Source organism: Homo sapiens, chromosome 2 (assembly GCF_000001405.40).
Source record: "Homo sapiens chromosome 2, GRCh38.p14 Primary Assembly".
Classification (NCBI taxonomy): Eukaryota; Metazoa; Chordata; class Mammalia; order Primates; family Hominidae; genus Homo; species Homo sapiens.
In genome coordinates, this window is record NC_000002.12 from 154,595,528 (window position 1) to 154,618,316 (window position 22,789).

Here is a 22,789-nt window from a genome sequence, read left to right on the forward strand (position 1 = left end):
ATGCCTTTCTCTGCTCTTTTGTTTGCACTTTCTTCTTGTGGTGTTGTATTCTCCTTGTCCATCCAGTGTGAGAGTAATCTGTTTCCCAAGGACGTATGGTAATAAAATGTAAAGAGGGGTTTTTAAAGTATAACAGTGTATTTAAGCTGTCTTTTCCTTCCTATGCAAAGTTATTTACCTTTTTAAAACAATTGAATGGCCTTATGGTATTTCACAGTAACATGATTTAATGCCATTTCCCTATTAATAAACTTTTAAGCTCTCTCTGTATTTTTACTATTGGAAACAATGTGACAAGGAGCACACTTGTATTATTGTGCACAACTGACTATTTGTATAGAATAGATTCCTAAATAATCTTTCTGGGACAAAGAAATGTATATACAGAATTTCACAGATATTGCTAACTTTCCCTCCAAAAAGCTTATGCCAATTTATACAAAAATAAACAATTGAACAAGGGCAACTTACCTTCCCAATATTTTCAATCCTCTTTAAGAACTTTTTTAATATGTAGCCTATTTCTTTTAAAGCTGTGAAGTCATTATTTTACTTGATAGTTTTATGCTTAACATTACATATTTCTACAATGAAGAATTTTCTTTCTAGATAAGTTTCTTTCTAGATAGGAAATTTCTGAAGGGGGATGAGAATAGCATTGGAATTCTCCAAAAAGCCAAGTTTGTGGTTTTCAGAAAAAATTCACTTGTGATATACTAACTTTGTTAAATAAAAGGTGACTTCTTAAGGTGTGTGATTGTCATTATGATGTGTATATATGAAGGACGTCTAGGATTATGTTTGAAGCATTGTATAATACTGCAATTTAACTTGTCTCTTAAGAAACAGAAAAATAAAAATTAATCTATGTTGGTTGAACAAAACATAGTGCTTACAATTAGTCAGACACAAGAAAATAAAGTTGTTATTCATTAAAATGGCAAATTCAAAATTGGCCTCATTTTTATACTTAAATCTCTGTATGTACATATATTTTTGCATAAAGAAAGACTTTCCTTGAAAGAAGAGGAATAACACAAAAGGGTAGATACTGTGTGATTCCATTTATATGGTATTCTAGAAAAGGCAAAATAATGAGACAGAAATTAAATCAGTAGTTGCCAGAGGCTGGGATGGGGGAAGGAGATTGACTGCACAGTGGCCTAAGGGAACTTTTGAGGTGATGGAGATGTTCTATGTCTTGATTCTGGTGTGGTTACCTAACTGTCTGTGTGTCAAAACCAATCTTACTGTATACTTTAAAAGGGGGAATTTTACTGTATATATCATATCTCAATAAACCTCCCTTGAAATTTTTAAAAAGTTTTAAAAAAAGACTTCCTTACCAAATTCCTGAGTATAAATGATGAAACAACATTTATATAAGAAGAGTGAGGAAAAGGCTGTTTTTCAGTACATTAAAATGATTTTTTTTACCCCCAGAATAGCTCCTGGCCTTATAAATTGAGACACTTATAAAAGAAATGATTCCCTAGCCTTGGTACTTGACTAATGTTATAACACTAAAGACCAGTTGACACTGCATAATGATTACATGTGACAGTGGCTTTCTAAATATGTCCCTGATTTTTCCTTGAAAACCACTTTAGGTTTTAGAAACGCCAGCTCTGAATAAATGTTTCTGTAATATACTTTTACTTTCAGGTTTTGAGATTTATTCATCACAACTTGCTGTTCTGAAAGTTCTCACAATTGCAAGTCGCTAAACATTACACAAGTTACTAAATAATTTTATGCAATATTAGTTCTTCTAAATAAATTTTCAATGTGTTTAAAAATGGAGTGTTTTGAGTGTGTTAATGAGATTACTTAATATCTCATAAGATATTATTTTAAAATTTTATTGTAGAAATAATAGCACTAAATACTATAAGTAAAGCACCCATCCCCTTCAAAAGCTATTGTTAATATTTGGTGACTTTTTCTTTGGTTTTGGGGGGATGGAGTCTCGCTTTGGCGACCAGGCTGGTGTGCAGTGGTGCGATCTTAGCTCACTGCAACCTCCAGCTCCCAGGTTCAAGCAATTCTCCTGCCTCAGCCTCCTGAGTAGCTGGGACTACAGGCACACGCCACCATGCCAGCTAATTTTTGTATTTTTAGTAGAGATGGGGTTTCACCATGTTGGACAGGATGGTCTCGATCTCCTGACCTCATGATCCATCTGCCATGGTGACATTTAAATCTAGTATTTTATTCTAGAAGAAATAAAACCATAATACCATGTTTACATAAAAGATTGGATTGTCAAAACAGACTCATATGAATCACAATTAACCAAAAAAAAAAAAAAAAACTCTCACTGGTACTACACAGAATACATATGGTCAATGACTAGAATAGTGACTAGCTATTGTTCTGTAAATCCTTAATTTATTCAAGATTTCTATTTGTCTTTAAGTCAGTTTTTATAAGTTGGATATTTCTGGAAATTTGTCAATTTCACTCATATACATTTTCAAATTTCTTGGTATAATGTTCATTCAAATCATATTTTGATGTTTGTAATCCATATATAATCTATAATATATAATATATACATATGTATATATAAATATGTATGTATATACTCTATATAATATGTAATCTATAGTAATGTACCCATTTTCTTTCTGAAATAGTTTTATGATGTTTCCTGTTTTTTTTTCCTTGCTTTCTTTTTTTTCTCTCTTTTTTTTTTTTGAGATGGAGTCTCGCTCTGTGGTGTAGGCTGGAATGCAGCGGTGTGATCTCAGCTCACTGCAACCTCCACCTCTTGGACTTAAGTGATTCTCCTGCATCAGCGTCTGGAGTAGCTGGGATTATAGGCACTTGTCACCATGCCTGGCTAATTTTTGTATTTTTACTAGAAATGGGGTTTCACTGTCTTGGACAGGGTGGTCTCAAACTCCTGATCTCAAGTGATCTGCCTGCCTTGGCCTCTGAAAGTACTGGGATTACAGGAGTGAAGCACCGCAACTGGCCCCTTTCTTGTTTCACCACAGGTGTGTAAATCTTATTTATATTGTCAAAAAAATCAACTTTTAGCTTTGTGGATTCTTCATTATATGATTGTTTCCATTTCATTATTTTCTACTTTCATTTTTATTATGTCCTTCCTTCTAGTTTCTTTTAGGATTTGTGTGCTGGGTTTTTTAATCCTCTAACTCTTGAGAAGAATGCTTTATTAATAAAATTTTTTTTATTTTTATTTTTGGCCATGATAAAAAGTCAAAAAAACAGATGCTGGCAAGGCTGCAGAGAAAAGGGAATGCTTATACGCTATTGGTAGAAATGTAAAATAGTTCAGCCACTTGGAAAGCATTTTGGAGATTTTTCAAAGGACTTAAAACAGAGCTACCATTCGACCCAGCAATGCCATTACTGGATATATACTCAAGGGAAAATAGACTATTATACCAAAATGACACTTTCATGCATAGGTTCATTGCCACAATATTTACAACAACAAAGACATGGAATTAACCTAGGTGCTCATCAATGGTGGATTGAATAAAGAACATGTGGTTCATGCCTATAATCCCAGCACTTTGGGAGGCCAAGGCAGGTGGATCACTTGAGGTTAGGAGTTTGAGACCAGCCTGGCCAACATGGTGAAACCCTGTGTCTATTAAAAATACAAAAATTAGCCAGGCGTGGTGGTGCACGCCTGTAATCCCAGCTACTAGGGAAGCTGGGGCAGGAGAATAGCTTGAACCTGGAAGGTGGAGGTTGTAGTGAGCTGAGATTGCCCCACTGCACTTCAACCTGGGCGACAGAGCAAGACTCTGTCTGGAAAAAAAAAAAAAAAAAAGGACATATGGTACGTATACAACATGGAGTACTATACAACCATAAAAAAGAATGACATCATGTCCTTTGCAGGATCATGAATGGAGCTGGAGGTTATAATCCTAAGCAAATTAATGCATGAACAGAAATCCAAATGCTGTATGTTCTCACTGATATTTGGGAGCTAAACATTGAGCACTTATAGACATACACATGGGAACAATTGATACTGCCAACTAATAGAGGAGGGATAAAGGGAGTAAGACATGGGTCAAAAAACTGCCTATGCTCACTACTTGAGCGCAAAAAACCTACACATGTACCCACATATCTAAAACAAAAATTGAGAAAAAAAAATCTTCATTCATTTAATAACATAGATTTATCTTGATACATTTCCTTCAAACTAGTATTTTAGCTGTATCTCTTGCATTTTGATATGTTGTGTTTTCATTATGGTTTAGTTTAAAATACCTTTTAAGATTCTATGATCCATTTGGTACTTGTATTTGTATTTGAAACCTACCAAACTTGGAATTTTCTAGTCATCTTATTGATTTCTAGCTTAATTTCATATGTTCAAAGAAACTTTAACAAGTATTCTACCACATAAATATACAAATCTGTTTACTCTTTCTATGGGTAGCATTTGGATATTCACAGATTTGTGGTTGTGTGTATGTGTTTATTCAGTAGATTTGTGGATTTGTTTTTTAGCTTTATATGACTGTAGCCTTATAGACTTTGTATAATTTATATAGCTTTGGATATAACATAAATTTATGGGTAACATTTCGTTAGACTTATATTACTGTAAAGTTCTGCTTCATTGATTTTGAAACTATTTTATTATGTTCATATACATTTAGCAATGTTATACCTCTTTGGTGAACTGAAAGATTTTTATTAGCAGTATCATTCTAAATTTCTAATTGTGCTTTTCTGAGTTCAAAGCTATTTTTCCTTTTTACTAATATAACTAAAAAGGATTTAATTTGAGCAGTCTTTGAATGTTATTTTCTATTTCTTCACATTAAACTTCTGTATGAATATGTTTTATATATATTTCTCATAAAGGACATGTAATTTTGTTTTTAAATTAAATATATCATTCTGTGCTTTTTTAGCTAGTCCATTCATTCTTGTCATTTGAAATGGGTGTCATTAATGACCTATTTCCATTTGAGTTACCCATCTTATTATATGTTCCCTGTTTGTCCCTGTAGTTCTGTGCTTGTCTCCATTCAAAATTTTTCTTTTATATTAAGAGTTTTAATTTTTTTCTTCTGCTGCTTGTATAAAGTTATAGTATCTCCTTTTATTTTTGTTTTCATTGTAGAAATTAAAACATGCATGCTTAACTTAATATTTTCTCACAGTAGTCAATATATATTACTCTTCTCAGATGTTACAAGTATCTTTGAATATTTTAACATAATTCCCAGAGCTCTAAACATTCTCTACCCCTGGTTATTCAATCAAACACTAATCTAGGCATTACTGTGAAGAGATTTTGCAGATATAATGCAAATCACAAGTCAACTGACTTTCAGGTGCTGAGATGATCTGGGTGAACCTGACCCAATCAGGTAAGCGCTTTAAAACCAAGAATTTTTGCTGTCTAGTGGTAGAAGGGGAAGGTAGATTCCTAACACCAAAATGCTTTAATATGCTATTGCTAGTTTGAAGATGGAGAGGCTCCATGTGACAAGAAATGAAAATGACCTCAATAAGCTGAGAGCAGCTTGTGCTGTTAGCTAGCAAAAGACTTCAATCATAAACCTGCCAGGAACGGAATTCTGCCAACAACCTGAATGAACTGGATTCATCCCCACTTATTCATGCTTTTCTGTATCCTTATGTAACTGATTATACTTTTGTGTTGCCTTTGCAAAAGAATATATGAGTCATTTTTTAAGGTTGCTACCTGGATGACTGGGGGCGCTCAACTGGACCCTTTCTTAGGCAGGCTTTGGACTTCGGCTTCAGTCACGCATTGGCCCTGGAGTTCATCAACATCAAAGCTCAATTCACCACTCTGTTTCATGAATATTGATCTCCTAAAGTATTTAATAGTTTCTCAACAAATTTCTGGGTTACTAAGTGCTTGCAGCTCTTAATTGTCTGAAAATATCTTTATTAGGTAGCCTTATTCTTGATGTTAGTTTAGCTTGACATAAAATTTCAGTTCAGAATTATTTTTCCTCGGCATTTGAGATTTTTTTCCTGAGATGTAGGCTATTAACTACGTGGTTTTTCCCTTCTAAGTAATCTGGCTTTTCTGATCAATAGTTTTCATGTTTTATTTCCTTTTGTACATTATTTTATTTACTTTTATAATTATACCCTAAATATAAATATGTTTCTACTAGGCGGCTTTTGTTGAATCATTTCAATTTGAACATTAATATTCTCAGTTCTGTAAAATTTCCATTCATTATCTTTTCAAGGCGCAATCTCTTTCTTTCAATCTAAAACTCATGACAGAAGTTTGAAATTTCTTCATTTCAAAATATTCATGGAGATTGTTTTTGTCTTTTGCTAATTTAAGGTGGAAATGTATAACATTTCTAACATCTAAATGGTACACTTTCTTTTTTTGTTTTTATTTTTATCTTTTTGAGATGGAGTCTCACTCTGTCACCCAGGCTGGAGTGCAGTGGTGCAATCTTGGCTCACTGCAACCTCCGCCTCCCGGATTCAAGCGATTCTCCTGCCTCAGCCTCCCGAATAGGTGGGACTACAGGCATGCACCACCACACCCAGCTAATTTTTGTATTATTATTTTTTTTTTTTTGAGACGGAGTCTCGCACTGTCGCCCAGGCTGGAGTTCAGTGGAGCGATATCGGCTCACTGCAATCTGCGCCTCCCGGGTTCAGCCTTTCTCCTGCCTCAGCCTCCCGAGTAGATGGGACTACAGGTACCCGCCACCATGCCTGGCTAATTTTTTTGTATTTTTAGTAGAGATGGGCTTTCACCGTGTTAGCCAGGATGGTCTCAATCTCCTGAGTTCGTGATCCGCCCGCCTCGGCCTCCCAAGGTGCTGGGATTACAGGCGTGAGCCATGCGCCTGGCCTAATTTTTGTATTTTTAATAGAGACAGTGTTTTGCCATGTTGGTCAGGCTGGTCTTGAACCCCTGACCTCAGGTTATTCACCCCCTTCGGCCTCCCAGACTGCTGGGATTACAGGCGTGAGCCACCATGCTCGGCTCTAAGTGGTACATTTTCAATGCGTATTCTATTCTTGTTTCTCTAGATTTTTAAACCTTCTACTCTTATTTTGAGAAAACCTTTCCATTATTAATCTCTTTGATGGTTTTTGCCATAATCACATCTCCACAGTCACTTTTGACATATATGGTACTAATCTCAGGAATTAAAATGTGGATAGAGTGGTTGGGGGGCATAATTTAGTGTATGAACTCCATTTTATTTTATTGATCTATTTCTCCATCACAGTGTCTTATTTACTATAGCTTTAAAATAGATCTCAATATTCAAGAGTGGAAAAACTATTCTTATTCAAGACTGTGTCATTTTTTGCTCTTTTTATTTACATATAATTTTGAATATCAGCTTGCCAATTTCCACACATATGTACACCTACTGAGATATTTATTTTGAATGCATAACATTCATATATTAATTTCACAAACTTTAGCACCTACACATTTTTGTCTTTAATAATTGCATGGATTGAGAAGGTACATTTAAATTTCTAAATAATTACATCTATTTTGAAAAAAAAAAAAACCTGTTAAAGCAGGCTAGCCTTGGGGAGGTCGGAATTGTTCAGGACATGCACAATTTGTTTTAGAACATTAAATATATCTGACTCCAGTTACACATGCACTTACTGATTCAATGTTAACTTGAAATAGTTCCTGCTGGTAAACTTGCATCATCATCTTTTCTATTCACCAACTTGCTGAGGTCAACTTTCTTCCTTGGATCTTGGTTGTCTAACTTTATTCTTTTCATTTATATTTATTCCTAGCTTTTTTGTATGTGCTCCTGATGAGTATAAAGGAAACCAAAGGCTCTCAGCAAAGTTGCAAAACAAGAAAAGACTGATTTGTAAAGACATGATGCAGACATATTTTCTAGAATATAAGTGCAGAATCTCTGCAGCTTCACTACCTGTACTAAATATGTCTACAGATGCCAGAGACTTAAAAATATTTTTAAATGATTTATGTTATTTATTGAGTCAGTTTCCCTTAGAAACAGACTGAAGTGAGAATTTGTGTGCATGGAAGATATCTATTAAGGGTGATCTTAGGCAAAATCGGCAAGGAAGTGAGGGGAGCTAGAGAGGATAGGGAAATAGCAGTACAACAGCAAGGTGTCAGGGGACGTCTAACTTCAATCTGATTCATCCAGAAACTTGATGCTCACATTGCAATGCAGATTGTGTTCTAACTGTAGGCAAAGAGGCTGGACTTCTGTAATTCAGACTAGTCTGTCATGAATATACCCTTGGCTGTGTAACCCTAAGACAACTCCCAGAGAAGTGGCTCCAAATGGCCAAGGGTGAGCCTCTGAAGAAGTTGCTGGGTAGTTACAGGTGTGAGCCTTGTGGCCACTGTGGGGATGGACACTCAGCAAGTACAAAGGTTCCCAGTTGATTTGTCCTGGAGCCAACATCATATGTTACATGTTTTATTCCCTTGTGAGCTCTCTTTTACATGAACATTGCTTATAGCAAATACTGATCTCATTGTTAACCATGATTTCTCAGAGTACTTGATATTCTTTAATTGTATGAATTGATTTATAAGAAATTTATTAATCTGAAGGTATACATAATTTTAGAAGGATATTCTTTGGCTTCTTACATGTGTTTAAAAATTACATCTTGGGCTCAAACATTTTTAAAGAAACATACATTGAAATTATAATGTAAATTAATAGGGTATTAATGGAATTAAGAGGCCACAGATGACACTGGCTAGCTATTTACCAAAGCTATTTTCCTGTTCTTTCTTTTCTTCTTAGACTGTATTTCCCAGCCTACCTCTATTGAGAGAGTTGTTACGAGGTTATGCCAACAAAATGTTCATGGAAATTATGTATGCGACTGCCAAGCCTGATCTTCCATACAATCCTCAGGCTTGCTCTTTCTCTGTGGGCTGGTTGGATCTCAATGCCCAGGGTGACCAAGGGGTGGGGGATGGGGGGGATGTGCTGAAGATGGCAGAGCCTCCAGCCATCTGAGTTTCTGAATTAGTAACAGAGCATGTCACATCCCTTGCCTCTAACTGGACTCTAAAATGAGCAAGTAATGAACTTTAATTATACTAAGCTGTGGAGATTTGAGGGTGTGTAGCTAATGCAATTACTAGTATTGTCTTATTTAACATACATACCAGAATATATACACAAACATACTTTCAGGAGATTATAGACCCTAAAAATTGTTAAACACACTTGTGTATGTATATCATTAGTATATAAGGGTAAATAGTAAAATCTTAAGATTAAAATCCTTTTCTATTATGTCATCCTTATTGGTAATGTATTTTAGAATTCTTTTCACTGTAAATACTATTGCTTAATATCTTGAAGCCAGAATCTCCCTTAGACTTATATATTCTACCTAATGCTTAAAATAATTGTTGAAGAACAAGAATAGCAGTAATTTTAGAGGTCAAAAGAAGAACATTTTAAGAATGGCTGTAAAATTTCCCATGAAGTTTTGTTTTATTTGAATTTGTCTATGCTTGATTTTTTTTTTTTTTCTGGTATGAAACCCTGAGCCACAGTAGGGATTCGATAATTTGTTTTTCTGCTCTCAGCTTATACAGCTAAGCAGCAAACCAGCTCCCCAAGGAAAATCGGAGAAATATCCATTCTTTCAGCTACAAATTTGACTGCAGTGAACTCACCAGGCACTTTAGGTGTCCATGATTAATGGGAAGTCAATCAGCTCAGACACAATATCTTACATTATTGACATCCCACTAATTAAAATAATTTGAGGGATAGCAAATAATTTGAGGTAGAATTTCTGGAAATATCATATGAAAATAGGATTATTAGCTGGTAACTCAGTAATATTCATTGACACAGTAGCTTGGTTTGCCAGACAAATTATCATCAATGAATAGGATATGAGATGTGATTTAGAGAGGTTTTAAGAAAGGGAACATAAAATCGAAGGTCTGTGTTCAGTTTTTTTCCTTGATATCCTAGGAATAATTTGTGCTGCTTGTAACCCGATGGTGTAAAAGAACAAGTCTAGGGACTGTGGAGGACAGGACAACACCACAACTTCCTGCTACAGAATTACAGCTAGGACCAATCTTTTTTCAAAAGAAATACACAACTTGGTTTGTCATTACATTATCTCTAAGGCATTTTTATCCATGTGGCCATGCTTGGAAATCGGAACATTTTTCAGTAAAAATCTACTTACTATGATGAAAGATGTGTTGCTAGCACCTGGGTCATTGTGACTTCAAAAAGAACATTATTTGAGGAATAATTAACACAGTTCTTCCTTTCCAGGATACGGTCCCCAGAAACATAATTTTATTCATAATTATGCTTAGAAATTATGTATGATGTTCAGGAAATTAAATGTATGTTTTATTTTGAAAGGTCAAAACATTGTTTCCAAAACTAAGTATTTCTTAAATATCCCATTTAATTCATGCAAAGAATAAGAACATTCTAGAATTATAAATGTGTTTAATTTCATTTCCTATATTTAAATATGAATGTGGTGATTTGCTTTATTTCTTCAAAGGCCACTATAATAAATCTTTCTTCAATGGAAGAGTTCTAAAGATCTAAATTATGGTGTTTTTGTTTTGTTTTGTTTTGAGAAGTAGTAATTGGCTTTGTTGCCCTTTTAAGTGAATTATGTGGGAGGAATCTCTACATGTTTTCTGAGACCTAGAAACAATCAGACAGCAGTTGGCATGTCTATTTTTAGCATTGAGATTTTATAAAATAAAATGAAAGCCCACTTATAATTATTTTTATTCCATTGGTGAAAGGGTCACAGATTATATTTTTAATAATTTAAGCTTTTTTAAATTCTTAAGGTCATAAAAATTGCTTAGCAAATTGCTAAGCTGAGAATGAAAGATCCTAGGTTGTCATTTAGGCCTAAGCAGTGTCTGCTCTCTTAAGTAAAATAACACCTTTTCTGATAATATACAGGATATTTATCACATATCTACTGGATATTAAATGCAAGGTATTCTTTCAAAGATGGCTATGAGATATGGTATGGTATGGTTTAGATACTAACCTAAAGATTTCATTCTGGATAATTGGATAATTTGACGGAGGGCCATAGAGATTCATTTGCTCTCCTAAATCCATAGCCTTATTTAGATAAAATTTAGATTTGGAGATGTAAGTCAAGATGCAGAGAGTGCTTTGGACATGTATGGGTGAAAGAAAAACTTATACATATTTAACTGATAGTATTTACCAAGATTTGAAGCAGGTACTTTATATACTACATTTTATGGAATCTCCATAAGAGCCATGTGAATTAAACATTGGTTTTCCTATTATACAATAGATGATCTTCTAGTGTTACCTGTAAGAGAAATTCAGAGATATAAATTACAATGGGATCTTTTACTTGGGACCATGCCAGCCTCCTTACTTAGTGTCTTTTACCCAGCACCATCTCCTGGAGGGAAAGCACTTCTCTCTTGATCATTCTTAGGCTCTTCTTTCTTGAAATTTTCTTTTAGTGAGAGAGGGGAAACTCATTGGAGCAAGTATTTGTGGCAACACTGACTAAGGCCTACTTGTTTCTTTGTGAAGCTATTTACCACCCGAGGAATTCTCACAATTGTATAACCACAGAGAAACAAACCTATATGTGGGCTGCATGACCCAGGCAGTTCCTGTCGGTGGCCAAGCCAGGAGGAACACTTCTGACACCCAAATTTCCCGGATGACTAGGGTTCTAGAATAGCAGGTTTCTCGTATTAGTAAGGCTCAACCCTTGATCATAAAGCTCAAGGTTTTCCAACTTGATTGCATCCCCACTGCCAAATCCAACTCTTTGTAAACATGTGTTTCTAAACATAAGAGGCAGCAGGGTATGAGATCCCCTTCTAGAGAGTCCAGTTGTGGTCGACCCACATATGTCTCTCCATGTTGTGCTAGAGCTTGGGGAACCCTGTCATTCACCAGCCCTGTGCCTGAGGATGTCTGTTTTGAGATTTTTCCTGTGGATTATTTGTGCTGCTTAGCTTAATTCTCAATTCAAAAATAGCTTAATGGAAATTATTTTCCCCATCCTGTTTTTTTGTGTAACTGTAGACATGGCTTGGGACAGAATTTAGGAGGAAAAACTCAATATTGACCTCTACCTGTGTAAAAAAGACAGAAAGATTTCCTTTATGCTATTTGCTTTACTATTTCTTAGCACTTCACATTTTAAATGGAAATATTTCAAAGCAAATAAAATACCTAAAAAGTAGTCATGGCATTCTATGCAGTAAAAAGAAACCTATCAGCAGAAAGGTGGGATTTATATTTCTGCAGAGCGTACCTTCTGAGTTACATGAGCATTAAAAAAGATGGGGGAAGAGAAAGAGGTACTTCAACTATACAGGGATAAGTGTCACAGTATTTTTAATTAAGAAAAAATACTGACTAAGGAGCTAAAGGGAGAGCTCTTGTTTTGGTAGTATCAGACTGTTGATGAGAGTAGAAAATAGTCTGCGTGTGCCTATTAAGTTATTTTTTCTGCACCCTGCATCAATTCATATTACAGCTGTCAGAGTTGGTACAGGTTTTCAAGCAAATTCAGGCAATGCATTCACTTTTCTTTTTCCCCATTTATTCTTCTCTCTAACATAGGGCCTTAAGTTGCCCTCAGATTTGCATCCTGCCTTATCATAACTAACCATGATATTTCTAGCAAAACTGGTGTCAACCTACTTGAAAGTACATTTCCATTTCTTCAGCAGACTAATTGTCTCCTTCAATCCAACATCTGCTTGCAGAGATTTTAAATTAAGCCCCAGAAGATTAAATAAGTTATATAGTTATTAGCAAAAAGAGATGGTACCAGAATATATCAAGAATTTAGCAAAATGCAAATGCTATACCAATATCAAGTATAGCAAAGTGAGTCTTCCAAATGCAAAAGCCTAACAGAAATCTATATATTTATTTTATTGTGTAGATGTCAATATAACACTTGTTAGTATGTATGAAATGGTGATTTGGAATCTTTCCTAAAGCAGCAAATGATAATTATCCATGGATGTCTACACTATTTCCCTATTGACTGGCAATCTAATATTTAACTAAGCTAGCTTAAATTGAAGTACATTTCAATTGCACAATTTCCTTTGAGAGCAGATTGCAGTTTTAAAATTCAGTAGGCTGAGGTATATCAGATATGGCCATGCTAAGGGAGAAGACTGATTTTCTGTAACCAATTGCCTCCTAAGAAAGTGAAATAATAAAGAAATAACCTTGGGCTTTCACACTGTAGACACAGAATATTTGTTTCAAAAATAACAAAATAACAATAGCAATTAAAAAACTGAACCCCTGACTTACAAAAAGTGTATTAAGATCTATCTAAAAAAACCTATTAGACTTTGTTAGAAAATTCTTAGAGAATACCTGAGGCTATTATTTCCATAGCAAAAAGATGAAGATCTGGGTATTTACTCAGTTATTTGCTTATAGACTCTTTTCTTTATTTATTCATTAATAAACATATATTAAGCATTAATTCCTGAAACCTGGTATAAAAGGTAAAAGATTACTGGCAATTAGTTATATCAGGTTGCTAGTACCTAAAATGGTGGGAATCATAAAATAATCAAATAATAAAAAATAACTTGTATTTTAAATTTACAAAACAGTTTAATGAATTGTTTTTATTAAATATATGTTTGTAGCCATAACATTCATATCAATATGAATAGATATATGGCAGTGCTTGACTAGTTGTACCAAGTATTACAATTTTACATTTAATTTAGCCAGAAATTGTTTCTAATATATGCTCAGAATGCTTTAAGCACCAAATGACATCACCTGCGTTCAGGCCCCCAGAACTGGGGTTTGAAACACTAAGCTGTAAAATATATTGGGCTTCTTTTTCTTTTTCTGATGTTAGGAACATCCTAAGACTCTCTGAAATTGAATGGTGCTATTTTCAGAAGACATTAAACGTGTGCCTTTTCAAAATCTTTTGATAGTTTATGCCACTTTTTTTTACCACAATAATAATTTTAGAGCATTTTGGTATTTTTCAACTCACATATTTCTTCTTTCCTACTTCACAGTCTTGAAGTCTTGTCAGATTTCCCCATATGATCAACTCACTCCACATTCAGATGAATAGGTATGAGATCCATGCTGCCCAATTCTTCTATATGCCCAGCATACATAAATAAGGAGCTATCATTAAGAGCTTCACTGCTATACCACTTGTTCATATAAGTTATTAAAAACAGGAGCAACTCTGTTCCCAAAAATGTTTCCACTGACAGCTCTAGGGAAACTAGAAAGCAGTAGCTGATATGAGTGTAAAAAGGGGAGTGACTTTACAATATATGTCTTTCTCTCTTTATTTCCTAGGCTATAAAACTATGTCGAATTTCAACTTCATATTTGATTTTTATTGCATTGAAAAACTTCAGTAGTTATTTTTAACAACAAATTTTTATTCTTTCCCATACATACTGGTTGAAAATAAAACTAATCAAATCATTTCATTATATTGTTCTTCAGACTTAATGAAATAAATGTTTGATAACTTGTGTCTTTTATTCTTTCCCCCTTCTTTATCTACTTCAGGAATATTAGATTCCTTTACAGTTTTTTAAAAATTTTAAATTTATGAGTAATACATTTCTCTATGTTTTCCAAGAGGTTTGCATCTTATACTACTTTTTTGAGTAGACATGGTCAAGTATCATTGAAGGGGCAGCCAATTCCTGCTCTGTGAGGCCATTTTAACACCGCTGTCCCTCACCCGAAAATGCTTGTGTTACCATAGACATTAATTATCAGGTCCTTCAGCAACACAATGTCAAAATACGCACTTGGTATATTCAAATAATTCATTGAAAAATAAATCGACAAATTTCTTGGCTTCAGTGGCCAGGCTTTTAAGTATTCTTTTTTTTTTTTTTTTTTTTTTTTTTGGTCGGAGTTTCGCTCTTGTTGCCCAGGCTGGAGTGCAATGTCGCGATCTCGGCTCACTGCAACCTCTGCCCACGGGTTTCAAGCCATTCTCCTGCCTCAGCCTCCTGAATAGCTGGGATTACAGGCGCCCATCACCACGCCCAGCTAATTTTAGTAAAGATGGAGTTTTGCCATGTTAGCCAGCTGGTCTTGAACTCCTGACCTTAAGTGATCCGCCCGCCTCGGCCTCCCAAAGTGTTGGGATTACAGGCGTGACCTACCGTGCCTGCCCTTAAATATTTAAATCTTTTTTTTTTTTTTTTTTTTTTTTTTTTTTGAGACAGAGTCTCGCTCTGTTCCCCAGGCTGGAGTACAGTGGCGCGATCTTGGCTCACTGCTCACCTCCACCTCCCGGGTTCACACCATTCTCCTGCCTCAGCCTCCCGAGTAGCTGGGACTACAGGCACCTGCCACCACGCCCGGATAATTTTTTATATTTTTAGTAGAGACGGGGTAAATATTTAATTCTTTAGCATCTCACTTTTGTATTCTTGGGTTCATACTTATGCCCAGGTCTTGACACTGTGTCTTCAAGTAGCCTTTTGACTCCTGCCACAAATTACAGCTGTATATTGTATTATCTGAATTATCTAAAATCATGGCTATTTTCCTTTTTTAAGAAAAAAAAATCAGTTTTTCAGTACTGAGATATTGGTTTTAAACAAAACACAATAATGAGAGCCTTTACATATTCAGTAATTTAGCAGTCCAATTATGTCCTTCTGTCCTCTAAGTCAACATGTTTTAAAAGTGAGAGAATAGTAATTTTATATCTACATATGTGGAAACCATGTTTTTTTTTTTAAATACAACCTTTTAGCTTTGATATGAGGCAATTATGTTTTTCAGTAATATCTGGGATCTATTCTACCTGTTACAATTTTGTGTGTCGTAATAAGCCACAGAAAACTGTTGTAGGAATTGGAGGGCTTGGGAAGTAATGCCTTTGACTCTTTGCTTGCATAACTCCCTGGCAGAAATTTTTCCTTCCAGTAAAAATATAATATGAAAAGCGGATTACTGCTCAAATCAGGTGTACCTGGGAGCTCGGTAGATAAAGGAGATTTGTGATAACAACTGAAAGAATGAAAACAGGGGAAAAAGATAGTAGTTTAGAAGGTAAGTAGAATAATGATTTCAGCTTTGTTTTTAAGAAAAAAGGACTCTTTCCAAATTAAATGTGGTTCCTGTTATCTGTGAAAACATTGGAAAGTTTAAGGTTTCTATTTCTGAAGTTTTTGTATTCTACTAATATCACTTCCAAGTTAAAAACCCAAAATAAATATTTTAAGACAAAGTGTGCATATCATTTACTTTAAAGATAACTGTTGCACCTAAGAAACAACAACAAAAAAAGATATTTCTTGAAAAATTTTAATTATCTTATCCTCGAATATCTTGTGATTACATGCCGGAATCAAATACACAATATTTTTAAAGATCATAAAGCAGTATACTTAATTCTATCAAGGAAAAACTATTCAACATATATACCCTTCATATCTAAGTTTCCCTGAATCAGAAGGTTTCTAATTCAGGAGGTTGCTTGGAAAGGCCGATGTATGAAGTGCTCTAATTTCCACTTGCATTAGAATGCTGAGGTCCATTCCTTCTAAACATTTTCCAAAAACATTTTTGAGTATATCATTTATTCATTCATCCTTTCAGTTGATCTGACAAATATTTATTGAGCTCCAACTATATCCTATGTTCTGTGTTTGGGATATCGCAGTAAACAATAAAGGCAAAATCAATTTTGCTCTCAAGGGATTTATACTCTAATCAGGGAAATCCACATTTGTTTATATGCTTATATAAACAAATACATTTATATCTTTATGTGCTTATATACGTTATAATCATATACACAAATTAATAATTAAAATAACTTTAGATATTTTAAAAAATCCTGGATATTAGCCATGATGATCTGGCAAGGCCATTTTAAGAAGAATGCATTTCAGCTGCGTCATGAATAAGAAAATAATAAGCCAGCCAAGCAAATGTCTGATGTAAGATGTCTTCAGATAGAGGAAACTACAAGAACTAAACTTCTGAGGCTGGTGCAAGTTAAGAGATAGAAGTAGACAATAGTGGCCAGATGGAAAAAGATCTTATAGGCCTTAAAAGTAAGGAAGGGATTTCTTGGTTTCTTTGTTTATTTTCTTTTCTAATAATATTATAATAAGGATTTTAATCATAGGAAATAAGGGATTTGATTTATACTTTAAAAGATCAAATGGAAAGTGAGCTGTAATTAAACTAAATGGAAAGTGGACTAACTCTGGTAAGGTGTAGATTTAGCTATGTTAATCTATCCTAGCATTGTTTCAGTATAAAAGACAAGGTACTGTGTTAGTATAATTCTTTGTACAATCTTTCATACTAGAGGTAAGAAAAAAAAGTTTCAGTCAGAAGCCTCTAAGAGTGTTCCTTATCTCTGGGCCTTACTAAGATATCCTTTTCATTTCTCTCTAGCCTTTCATGCCAGAACAGGGAGAAGCTTTCACCCAATGGCATAGGGACCAGCTAGTTGGTTCATGTCTCTAGCAAACTTTCCTTTTATTCCACCACCAATTCCAACCACCAAATTGGGAATCTACGAGCATTTGGTTCAAAGAGCTCACAGCCTCATTCACAACCAAAAATATTTCAGAGTGTACTCTGCAGTAAGAGCTATACCATAGTGTGAACACATTGCAAAAAAAGAAAGAAGGGAGAGAACACTTCTGTCTTGGGGAAGTTAGGGAAGACAGCATAGAGGATGTTGTGTTTGAGTGAGGCCTGAAGACATCTAAAGTGGTTTTAGGCAGAGAAAATATAAATATAAAATTTTCTCTAAATTACAAGGAAAAGTAGCATGAATTAGAGCATGTAAGTATGATCATATATGATTTTTAGGTAAATGGAAAAGCACACGACTTCAGAAAAAGCAAAGATTTTTATGTCACTGGCAGTGGTAGGAAAGAAAATTGAAAAATTTATTATTTGTACCCATGGTACGGAATATGAGCATTAATTTTCAGGCCTTTGATGGAAAGTCTGCAAATAATTTTTGAGCATGAGGGTGACCACCAAATTTGTGTTTTACAAAGATAATGCTAAGGAAGAGTGTAAAGAATGGATTGAAGGAGCAAAAGGGCAAGAGACTAGCAGCAGAAAAACCTGTTAGACGTCTTTAAAGCGGTCTAGATTAGATATGCTAAGGGGCTGGACAATGAGAGATGGAATCAAATAGGGAAGAAGGATAAATTAAAGAATCATGTTGGTGTAGAAGTGATAGGGTTCATATGTGAATCAGGTTTATCTGCAAGAATAAGTGACGTTATTGAAGTTTATAAAGCTTCAGGCTTAGACTACTTACTGCATGAGGATGCTGGCAACCTACTAACCTATGACCTGGCCCAGGTATTCCAAGGATTATAGTCATTTGATAGGCTAGAACTTCACCTAAATCTCCCCATAATCATCCTAACTTCCAGTTTCTTTTTTTTTCCCCTTGATGTTTGGTATTTGAATAATGAATGTACCTTTCTTCAAGTAAGATGCAATATGCTTTATGTTTTAAGTTGGAAATATCTCCTGCCTACCAGTTTTGCCAGTGTGTTTAATGTTTGTTTTATTTTTCAAAGATGAATGAATTTTGGTTGAGCCATTGCTCCTAATAGGCAATACAGTCACATATTGTTTTCAGTCCTCCTTTATAAAGCAGCTGTATTTTTCACTTATGGCTGATTCACATCTTCTCATGAATTTAATTTTCTTCCATCCACATTAATTATCTAACTAAAGATGATATGGAGTTGTAATATCATATCAGTGACATAAATTGCCTATTACATAAAGTTAAGATATAGTCAGTTACAAACAACAAAAGAATCAACACAACTAATTTTTAATGAGAGATTTTTATGTTATATATAAAAAGAATAGTGCAACCACCAGGTTGGTTAATTGAAAGGCTAAATATAAAGCAAAGAAACGGTTTCCTTCAATCATCTTGCACTGCTATTTTCATCACACCAGGTTATCTTTTTAAGGTATCACAGATACCTTAAAAAGACATCACCTGTTCTGATAAAAAGATACCACCTTTTCTGTGATATCACTTTTTAAGATATCACAGAAAAATGAATAATTCTTATAATGTGTCCCTTTACAAGGGTTAGAAAAACTTTACTAGATGGTGTTGTCTAGACTTCCTCTCACATCTCATTGGCCATTTATACAACACTTGCTCTGTCTAAGCCAATCAAGTGTGATGACAAGAATAATGAAACCACCATGATTGGCTTAGACTCATCCTTCTCTGAAATGCATGACCATCTAATACCTGAACAAAATCAGGGTTTTATGTGAAAATATGCAGGAACATGGAGGATGGTTTTCTAAATAGGCTACTAATAGTATTCACCACTGCAGTATTCCTGAAGGATGTTTCTTTTGGAATATTTTAAGATTTGTCAATTACATACCATGATCTCTGGGTAGATAATGCTCCCTGAATACCTTTCCAACCTTGGAGCTTTCAGCATTAATTGGTCACTCATTTGGAGAAGACAGAGGGAAAAAAAAGTCATCAGAGTTCTTACCTATTGCAACACAGTCTCAGGAATTTGAACTGGGCATTGGCAAATTTCAATATTGGTCCTTGTTCAACTGCCCTTCCAGTGCCATCCATCATGCTATTAGGAATCTTGTCCATACATGCTGTTCTGTGGCTGCTCAGAAACTCTCTAGCAGAACTTCAAGTATTTTCTTCCAGTTAGTAGCCTTCTGTTTCAAACTCATCTATTTGACCAAAGTGTAACTGTCTTCTAGTCTCAGAAGCATTTCTGATTCATATAAGAAGCTAAGCTCTATCTTTGTATTCACTGGAAGTAATGGGTTAAAAAAATTCATTTCTCAAGCAACAGAAATGTATTTTGACAAAGATCTGAAGGTTCTAAAGATTATCCAAAAGAGGACACTGTTTGAAGCAGCATTTTCTAGTTTGCTGCCTATTTGACATTTGGCCATGCACTGATTATATCACATCTCAAAAGTAGCACTTGCTTACCTGCATTTCTGTAATATGCCACTGAAATAATACACGTGAAAGGGCACTGACATTGTGAGGGGCTGCTCCAAGAAGTTCTTGGGACCTGGGGCAGAAGCTACAGATTAGAAGACCATGACAATGATGAGTATTGTTTCAGGCATTAGCTAGCTTCAGTTTTTGGTGGAACCAAAGTGTCGAAACTCCAGGTAGTCAGAGTGGTGAAATTTTTAAATTATGGAGTGATCATCTTCTTCACGTCTCCCAGAAGTCATGGAGTAAATATTTTACAAACAACTAATTTTTGATCTCCAGTTACGTAAGAATGATCTGATTAATTTCTGTGAGTGAAAAGTTGTGGTATAGTGGTAACAGTCAAAAAATGAATATTCTAATGATTATTGCAAATGTCATCTCTTCATGCAGGAATATAGCATTAAAACAATTGGGGCTTACTAGCTCTGTATATATGTGGAGGCACAAAGAAATTCTAATGAAATCCCACACTAGTGTAACAAATGTTTTAGTTTTGCAATCTATATATTTCCTGAAATTCAACAGAAAGCATGTCCTCAGTGTCCTGAGCATTTAAAACAAGAAGAAAACTTTATTTAAAAGGTTTTGATGGCAGAAGAGAAAAGTTAAAGTTTCCATTTCTTTCATCATTTTATCTCCCTTAGTTTTTCCACATTTCACATCTGTCTTTCTTCTCTGAATACCAAAAGTAATTGATGTTAACTTGATAGGGTCTCAAAAATAATTTAAATTATTAAAATGTAGTTCTGCAGATATAAAGAATTTATGTGTGCCATTTTATTCTTCACTGTTTCAGAATGACGTCCTGCCCTCCTACCCACGGTGTAGCCTTCTCCACTTGTCTGAACACAAATGACATCTTTTATGTGTAAAGACTAAAGTGAAGTTCCATGAATCATTTCTTTTTTAATGTTTCCCATGGAGCATTTCCTCTCCCTGTCAAATAGAAATCCACATTATTCTCTTTTAGAGTTAAACCTTAATGTATTTTCTTTTCGCTTGGAGTACTTTTCTATTTTACTTGGTTACTGCATTGCTTCTTACATCAGGCTCATTTGCTACATCACTCTAGGTGCCCACACTATCTTTTTGTAACCTTGCCTTGTTCAGGGAAATCGTTCTCTCAAAAGCACTAAGTGTCTGAAACCATGACTGTTTATAATAGGATGGTACACAGCAAGGATCCCCAAACCCCGGGCCTACTGGTACTGGTGCGTGGCCTGTTAGAAACTGGGCTGCACAGCAGGAGGTGAGGTGAGCAGGCAAGAAAGTGTTACCGCCCGAGCTGCGTCTCCTGTCAGACCAGCGGTGGCATTCGATTCTCAGAGGAGCACAAACTCCACTGTGAACTGTGCATGCGAACGATCTAAGTTGCGTGGTCCTTATGAGAATCTACCTAATGCCTGGTGACGTGGAGTGGAACAGTTTCACCCCGATACCATTTCCCCCGCCCACTCTGACCATCGTGGAAAAATTGTCTTCCACAAAACCAGTTCCTGATGCCAAAAAGGTTGGGGACCGCTGGCACAGAGAGCCAAAACATGATTATGAATTGTAAAGTTTTATAAAATTTAATAAATGAAACCTGAGAAGTAACCATTACAGTTACAAAAACAAAATAAAGTTGTACATTTTTTAATCAACCATATGTATAGTGTAATAGAAGAAATGTTTACCATGGAGTCAGAAGATGCCCCTAACAAGCTCTATGAACTTACACAAGGCTTTTCTCAGCCTTGTCGTCTGCTTCCACATTTATAAATATATGGAAATATATGAATCTTGAACTAAATGATCACTATGACCCTTCCAGGTCAAATGATCTTGATTATCAGTATATTAATAGGTTATTTTATTTTAGGTTATTTTATTTTTATCTTAGTCAACTGGAAATGGACTTTTTAATAAAAGCATTAACATGGAATGCTTCCTCTTCTTACGTGGAAACAACTCCTAAAGCACAAATTTGTAATTATGGTGCAGGAGAGTCTTATCATAGGTTGCAGATTTTTAGGCAGTTTTCCGTAATGAGTTAGAAATTATATTAGGGGAGCTTATGATGGGGTCAGTTACTTATAATGCTTATTTTGTTAGAGAATATAGTATACATTTTGATGGAATAAAAGCTATTTGGGAGGATATTGCCCTGTTCTCTCACTCCACTTCTTACATGTCTTTTATTCTACAGTTGCTGTCTAAGTCTTAATATCAAAATTTGCTCCCTATGCGGAAAATCTGTTTGGTAACTATCTATTTGCTACCTAATCTGGGTAATGTTGTAGAACAGGTCTGTTCTCCATAATATATCCCTGTCTATCCAAATCAATGTTGTCTTTAGTTTGAATAATGAATATTTAGAGAAACAATTTGAATAGAAATGGATATAACTAAAACTATTCAGTTCTGGGGTTTTGGTTAGTGAGAGTTCAAAGAGCAAGGGTTTGAATGTGAAGGAGGGGTTGGGTAATATTTTCTTGGGGAAGCAGAATGCCTTAGTGAAAAGGGTACAAGAGTTCATATAAGGAAAGATAGACTCATTCAATTTCTTTTTCTTCCACTTGCTATCTGGGTGACCTGGAGCAAAGGAATTGGCCACATATGTATGTTAGGATTCACAGTTGTAGGTAGAAGAAACAAACTCTGGCTGATTAAGTGCAACTTGATTCATTAGAAGGATTAATATATGACTCAGAGAAGCAGTAGAAGAATAAGTGTTGCATTTCCATTATAATTA